This window comes from Homo sapiens, chromosome 14 (assembly GCF_000001405.40).
Source record: "Homo sapiens chromosome 14, GRCh38.p14 Primary Assembly".
In the NCBI taxonomy this organism is placed as follows: domain Eukaryota; kingdom Metazoa; phylum Chordata; class Mammalia; order Primates; family Hominidae; genus Homo; species Homo sapiens.
This window is the reverse complement of record NC_000014.9, coordinates 23,927,453-23,935,589: the sequence shown is the minus strand read 5'-3', so window position 1 is coordinate 23,935,589 and position 8,137 is coordinate 23,927,453. Positions and strand designations below refer to the sequence as shown.

The 8,137-nt window shown below is 42.9% G+C and overlaps 2 long non-coding RNA genes across 2 annotated transcripts in view; both read left to right on the top strand.

Moving 5' to 3' along the window:
* The first annotated feature begins 1,648 nt into the window (after nucleotides 1-1,648).
* LINC00596 (long intergenic non-protein coding RNA 596) overlaps nucleotides 1,649-8,137 on the top strand; it is a 95,219-nt gene continuing 88,730 nt past the window's right edge. Inside the window, exon 1 of the long non-coding RNA XR_001750659.1 lies at nucleotides 1,649-1,843. This is a non-coding gene — a long non-coding RNA (long intergenic non-protein coding RNA 596). The remainder of the gene's footprint in view (nucleotides 1,844-8,137) is intronic.
* LOC105370411 (uncharacterized) lies at nucleotides 5,576-7,676 on the top strand. Its single transcript, XR_943618.2, has 2 exons — nucleotides 5,576-6,384; nucleotides 7,569-7,676. It is a non-coding gene; the product is annotated as an uncharacterized LOC105370411 (long non-coding RNA).

Sequence of the window (8,137 nt, the reverse complement as noted above, 5' to 3'; positions counted from 1 at the left end):
GCACATCAGCATCACCAGCACCTCTGTTAAGCAGAATACTGTGCATGGGTATTAATCCCTGGTGGGGAATTCTGTGCGACTATTAAGAATCCCAGAGGAGAACTCTAAACACCTTGCCAGCTTCTACTAAGGTTCCTAGATCTGGCAGGTTTCTAGATCTGGCAGGAGGTTTTGCCCAAACCCAGCTGCCAGTGTATGAGTTTGGTGAGACAGAGCACTTGTGCAACATGTCAGGCAAAGCAAGTTTAGTACTCCCAGGCAGGGAGCAAGGGCCAACAGAAGTCTAGGATCCATGATGTGCTGGTCCCCCAAGGCTTAGGGAGGCTGCCCAGGGTGGATGCAGTCTTATCTGTATGTGCTCCACTATACATCTGATATAGTTTGGATATTTGTCCCCTCCAAATCTCATGTTGAAATGTGATCCCCAGTGTGGAGGTGGGGCCTGGAGGGAGGTGTTTGGGTCAGAGGGGTTGATCCCCCATGAATGGCTTCGTGTCCTCCCCGTGGTAATGAGCGAGCTCTCAGCTATTACTTCATGTGAGATCTGGTTGTTTTAAAGAACCTGGCACCTTCTCCTTTCTCTTTTGCCCCCTCTCATGCCATGTGACATGCTGCCTCCCTCTTTGCCTTCCACCATGAGTGGGAGCTTCCTGAGGACCTCACCAGAAGCTGAGGAGATGCTGGTGCTAGGCTTCTTGTAGAGACTGCAAAGCCGTAAGACAAATGAACTTCTTTTTTGTATAAATTGCCCAGATATTCCTTTACAGCAAAACAAAATGGACTGATATAGCACCACTACTGAGGGACCCTGAAAGCATTCTGCTCTGGTTTTATACCTCAGAGGCCACTTGGATTGGTGAGCCAAGCATTGCAGGCTGTTCTAGGAATGACGGAGACAAAGCCTGGGCTATTCTGGGCATTTCCTCCTATCTCAGAATGTTGCATTCTCTGTACATTCTGCCCAAGAATTGCAAGCAAAGGAGGGTCAGCCAAGGCTATTTGCAGGCTTGTCCTCCTGTCTGGTTGAAAGATCCTTCAGTACCAGCCAACTCTCTCTCCTGGTTCCATGTTCACTCTGCTACTTTCTAATTATTACTCCAGGTTGGAGGGATGGATGATGGACAACAACTTTTCTCATCACTGGAAGGGCATGTTCCCCACTGAAACTGAATCCACTGTTTTTTGTTTGTTTGTTTATTTGTTTATTTTTGTTTTTGAGACAGCGTCTGGCTTTGTTGCCCAGACTGGAGTGCACTGGTGCAATCTCGGCTCACTGCAACCTCTGCCTCCGGGGTTCAAGAGATTCTCCTGCCTCAGCCTCCCAAGTAGCTTGGACTACAGGCACGCACCACCATGCCTGGCTAATTTTTATATTTTTAGTGGAGACAGGGTTTCACCATGTTGGCCAGACTGGTCTTGAGCTCCTGACTTCAAGTGATCCACCTGCCTTGGCCTCCCAAAGTGCTGGGATTACAGGCATCAGGCCACTCCACTGGGTTTTGAGAATCAGTCAATTTTATGTGTGTTTAGGTTACTTAGCTGCATTCCTAAAGTCTCTGAACCAGTCAGCCAGGAGCTTGGATATCAAGACCTTGGAGGGAGTTTGGTGTCAGTTTTCAGCATCAAACTCCCTCCAAGGTCTTGATATCCAAGCTCCTGGCTGATCTGGGAGCCACAGCAGGGGTCAGGGCCCTGTGATCCCCAGCCTGAAACTGGCAGTCAGATTTCACAGGCTTCAGACCACAGAGGAGCACTAGGACCCCACCAGAGGTGGTCCGGAGGCTGACCTGAAGGCCCTGGGGATGGGCTATGCAAGCTGATTGCTCACTGCGAGTAGCAAGAGGTGAGTGTTGCTGGGACTCTAGAGTTCAGCAGCAAAGCGTTGCTTTCACATGGGGGTAGCATGAGACAAACCTCTGACTGGAGGGGGCAGCAGGGGTGGAAAGGAGATGGGCGGTCAGTTTCTGGTTTGCCTGCTGTTCCCGAAGAGTTAGATGAGAAAGAGACTTTTGGGCTGTTTCCAGGAGGAGCTCTGCTAAATTCCAGCAGTGAGGAGGCCCCCTCCCCACTCAGTATTCTGTTTCTGTCCAATTTTCAAGGTGGGTGGTTCCCATGAAGCATAGCAGGGCAGGATGTGGGGGAGAGCTTTGGCTCATAGTGCACAAGTATTAAATATTTTAAGCTACATGATATTCATACAGTACTTCAACATAAACCTTAACTGTAATTGTTGCAAGGATACACCATTTTCCTCCCAAGCAGATTCTAATTAATCAACAATATGCTGATCAAGCATCTGCAGGAGAAGCAGTGTGCTAAACACTGTAGAAAATTAAAGATTTACAGCATAAACTTCATCTTTGCACTGAAGGAATTTACAAGCTAGCTGAGGAAATAGGACGCATCAGTGAAACACCTAGAAAACAACTGCCAAAAAAAGCACTAAACTAAGTGGGATTCATCAGCACCTCTTTTCCACCCTTCCACTGCATCTCTCCCACAGAGTGGCTCAACCTTGCCCCAGTCGGCAGAACTCTGGGACCACGAGGCAGATCATATGAATCTTCCCTCCAGTGTCCCACTCTTTCTTTATCCCATGGAACATAGTCACTGTTGGTAACTAGTTCCTCTGCACCCCTTCACTCCTTCCCACAGGGCTCAGTGGACTGAGGGTGGGAGAGTGTGAGGGTGATGAGGGGAGAAGCTGGTTTTGTGTGGATATATCCAGAAAATGGACACTGCAAAGGCGATCATGCTAGATAAAAATAGGTTTAATTTCTTCGGTTGTCTTCTGCTAAAATGGAATGGGTCTGGTTAGTTGGAGGGGTCAGATATCTCTTGTTAAATTGATAAGCATCTGCTGTATCTCATTTGTGCAGAAGGAAGATAAAAGGCCATCGGGAGACCTGGGTGTGGCCTTCTTGGGGCTCTTCTGGTTGCCTAGTAGCTTTTCCATGTTTTCTCGCTATGTCTTTATACCCATGTCCTTTCAATATACATTTCTCCCTCGTTGTGCTGATGCTTGTGTGACTGTCATCATTTGTGTACGGTCCTCTGAATTAGACAGGTTCAAGAGAGTGACAAAAGTATTACTGGAACCTACTTTTGCTATTAGGCCAGCCTTTCTCAACAGGATTTCCAGGAAAGAATTAAGGTCTACAGAACATTATTTGAGTGACTGTCTTCTCAGTTTCTCTAGGATGTGACATAATTAGTTCCATTCTAGAAGAACGAGAAATATAAGTTAATTCATTACATAAAATAGATGCCTTTGGGCATTAGGGCTTAGTTTGCTCATGTAGCCCAGATTGAGAAGGGCTGCTCTGGGCCCTCATCCAAGGGTCTCAAGCAACATCAGAGCTCCCTCCTTTTCTTGGCCTGCCTCAGTTGCTGCAACTAACCCATAATGACTTCTTGAGTCATGAGTTTGACAGTGTACACTAAATGTAATTGGAGTTCAAAGGACAGACCAAGGCCCTGTGGGGGGTAATATGTGGAGTTATAATTGTTTAGGCATTCTAAGGTCATCTAATATTAACTTAGAATAGGCAGTGAACTTGGAGAGAGAAGACTTGAAACTTTGCTCTCTCCCTCATTCCTTATCGGGGACTCTGTAAGGCAGGACGGCGAGTAATGACTTCCCTCTGTGGTAAGGGAGTAGAAGTTCTCTGTTCAAAAAACTTTAGATCTTGTAAACAGTGATCTAAATCAGCAGTCCCCAATCTTTTGGCACCAGGGACTGGTTTCGTAGAAGAGTTTTTCCATGGACTGTGGGGTTTGCGGGTGGATAATTTTGGGATGATTCAAGCTCATTACATTTATCGTGCACTTTATTTCTATTATTATTACATTATATATTATATACATATATATATATATGTATATATATATATATATATATATATATATATGTAATTGTACAACTCACCATGATGTAGAATCAGTGGGACCCCTGAGCTTGTTTTCCTGCAACTAGATGGCCCCATCGGGGTGATGGGAGACAGTGACAGATCATCAGGCATTAGATTCTCATAAGGAGTGTGAAACCTAGATCCTTTGCATATGAAGTTCACAATAGGGTTCATGCACCTATGAGAATCTAATGCCTCTGCTGATCTGATAGGAGGTAGGGCTCAGGCGGTAATGCGAGTGATGGGGAGTGGCTGTAAATACAGATGAAGCTTCCCTTGGTCGCCCACCACTCACCTCCTGCTGTGCAGCCTGGTTCCTAACAGGTCATGGACTTGTCTGGTCTGTAGCCCAGGGATTGGGGACCCCTGATCTAAATAGCAAAGCTGAATAAAGTATGCCTATCCCATCTGATATAAATTGAGAGTTGTTAGGATTTGGCATGGCGCATCAGGGTGTTGAGTAATCTGGTGTTCATCAGTATTGACAGGTAGAGAAGATAAGGATGTTTTGAGCTCATCAAGACAGGAGCAGACACCTGTTGGGACAAGAGAGCACAGCAGCAGGCTGGTTCTCCCATCCTCGTACCCTATCATATGATGCTGGTCAGGAGGAGACTGGGGAAATATTGTGATATTATAGGTTAAATCTTTGGGAAAGCATTTTTTGAGTCAGGCTTGGTCTGGACATTGTCTGACTCCCGTGGCTTGGAGGTTGCCAGGGCGATGACACATTCCTTCAAGATTTTGGTTTCTTTCCTGGCCAGATCTAGCAGAGCCAAGTTTTCTTGGGTGCCTGCAGGCTGTCAGAAGAACTCCATCCTTGCTTCTCTGTCACTACTGTGCACTGAATCCTGCCTGAAATCCTCCACTTCCGCCTTTGGCTAGGAACCCTTCCTTTCTTCCCTGCTGGACCCAGGGAGGAGGAGAGGCAACATCACAACTTTCTGTGCTTCCATCATAGCTGTGGGACTGTCTCTGTGTAAAGTCCTGCTGGCCTAGAGTTTCTAGCTTCTAGTGTCACCTGTGGAACTACAAAATTTATCCTTATTCCAGGTTAAGTTCCTCTGCTATGCATTCTCATGTACTTCCTTTTTGAAATAATTATTAACTGAATGAGTGCTTATTTAATATTTATTTTCCTGAGCTAGACTATGAGCTCCATAAGATCTGGAACGAAGTCTGTCTTGGTCACTGCCATATTCCTATTGCCAAGCACAACAAAATCATTGTAGGCATTTCAAAGAGGGAATTTAAAACAGGAAATTGGTTACACGTTGGACTGGGCTGAGAAGCCAAATGGGCTGGTGAAACAACCACATATTAGTGGCAGCGGAAGCTGCTACCATCCTGAGGGCTGGAAGGACACAAGAAAGGAGTGGGGAACAACTTCATTCTGATTAACTTCATTCTGAATTATATGGAATTAAAAAATTTTTCTTCTGGTAGGAGTGCCCACAATACTAGTAAAAATGTAGGCCATTTAACATTACCCTATTTGAAATCCACCATAGCCTTCTTGAGTTTCAAATCTGAAATCTGCAGGGATAATGTTTCTCAAAATGACAAAAGCACCATTTCTGAGGCAAAGATCCAGCCTGTCCTGGGCAGGTTGGCCCTTGGTTAGGATTTCAGGTCACGCTTGCAGATAGATCCATCACGCTTCCATCTCAGATGGGCTGTGACCTTTTGGATGCAGAGAAGGCTGTAATGCCACTTTTGTCCACCAGAGGGCTGCAGGGTCTCCCCTCACAGTCCAAACGGCTGAGATTTGGTGACTCAACCATGCCTTGGCAGGGTGCTGCCTTGAGGGGTCTCCTCTTAAGTACCTCATGTGTTGGAGGAGATCTGGGGGTGCAGAGGCTGCCCTGATTCCAGAAGGGAGGAATTTTGTATTCGGTTCCCTCATTTTCTCTCTCCCGGCTTCATTTTATGTTTCATAACAATTGATTTGAACAATTTAAAAATCGGGAAATCAAAGTGGGGGTGTGTGTGTGTGCATTTTGTGGGCAGGGTAGCAAGAAGTGGGAATAATTCTGGTTACATTAATTCATGCCTGAACTCGCAGCTTAAACATTATTTAATGTTGTAGAAATTCAGAGATGGAAAAGTGACCTTGGAAATAATTTAGCATCCCTTCATTTATAGCCAAAGAAATGAATGCGGCCCTTGCCGCTTGCGAGATGCCTGGAAGGTTCAGAGCCTTTAGGAATGCAGCTAATATGTAAGGTTATTAAAGCGTTTTTGGTAAGATTTTATTTCAGTATTCCAATCTTTCTTCCCTTTTCTTAGACTCAGCCTGAGCCTTAACAGCAGCAACAAAGCACAAAAAGGCATTTTTCAGTTTTCCATTGAAAGTACTTGGCTTTCTTGTTCTAATCCCATAATTAGACTTTGGATTCTTTCCAGACTCCATTGAATCAGAAGATAGAAAGGCCTGACATGGTAGAAAAAAATTATCCGGGAAAATATTGGAGTGAGTAGAAAACCAGTCAAACTCCTAATTGCAAATTCTCTTAAAATTAATTGAAAAATGTTACTAAAGAATTTTCAGCAGTACAGCAAAGACCAGTCACTGAAGTAACTTAAGGGAGAATGCACTAAACTGAAAAAAAATCAATGTGGGTTTTCTAAAAAAGTTTCAAAAAACACCCAATGAGCCCACACAAAAAACTTTATTTTAATTAATCCCAAAGAAAGAAACAACCACAGGGAACCATACACAGAATTCAGAAAATGGCTGGAGCCTCTTTTCAAAGAAATCAAGTGGACATTACATCCTCCCTAGTGAAAGTCAGAATAAAAAAGAATGAAAGTAATGATTATTGCAAAAGACACATTGAAAATCATGTTTAAACTGCACAAAGCAGAAATGGCACTTAAATCAGTAAAGAAACCTGAGCAATAGATCCAGAATTTAAAGAAACTAAATTAAGAAATGAAACACTTCAGGAGGGCAGATCTGGGGAATAGATCTGAGTATTGCAATTTCTGAATAGTTAGACTTCCTGAGTAAGCCAAAGAAAGAAAAGGTCCTAAATCAATAACTAAAGATGCAGGAATACTTTATTCCAGAATCAATAAGAGATTAGACTTGAAATAGAGAAGAGTTACATGGTCTAACAGAATAGTTACGAACATTTAGGAAACAGTTCTCACACTTATACATCTTTTCATTTGATTTTTACAACAATGTGAGGTAGACAGATATTATTAATCTCCCATCTTACAGATAGAAATTAACCTCCAAGAAACTGAGTGATTTGCCCAAGGGATATAACTAGTAAGTGAAGAGTCCAAGTTCAAGTCCAGGTCCTGCTCTCCAAAGTGGGAGGGGTCTTATATATATTTTAAATAATAAGGGAAATACATCTTTGATGACATGCAAAAAGAGAAGATCTCTTAAAAGAATATACATTGGAAACACGATTGGATTTTCTAGTAACATAAAAAGAGCTCAGTGGATATGAAACAATGTTACCAAGGATGAGAGAGAGAGAGAGAGAGAGAGAGAGAGAGAGAGAGAGAGAGAGAGAGAGAATGCATCCCCACCATACTTGACCTTGCCAAACTGCCTTTCATGTGGGGCGCGACAAAGAACTAAAAGCTCTTTGAGGTCCTAGAAATCCAACCAGTCACTCACTCACATTATTCCAACAGGCTCTGAGGACTGCTTCTAACAGAAGTCTGCATTAAACACAGAAACCTAAAGAGAAGACATTGACCTGAGTTATTTATTTATTACAGAAATATATAAACAGAACATCATGAGGAAGCATTTTTTGTTGATAAGTATAATTATTGTATTTGATGGAACAAAAGTAAGATGTGTCCTTATACCTGTATGAGGAATTACAACTGCTCTGACCTTTCTAAGAGAGTTATTTGGCTAAATGTGACATGAAACATTCCTTAGATTCAATACTACCACTCCGGGAACTTGTCCTAAAGCAATAATTCAAAGAAGAAAAAATTATAGATTGTTATACTGATATTTACAATTGTGAAAACTTGGAATAAAAACTGAAGAACTGAGTTTTACCCCAAATGAATATTATGTAGCTGTTAAAAATAATGAAGATGAAATATGTGTAAGAAATTAGCAATGGAAGTAGAACTAAACTTTTAACCATACTATGATTAAAACAATGAAAAATGTGTGTATGTAGATAAAAATTGGGATGCAATGTAGAGAAATGACATGAGTTAATTTAGGGTGGTGGAATCGA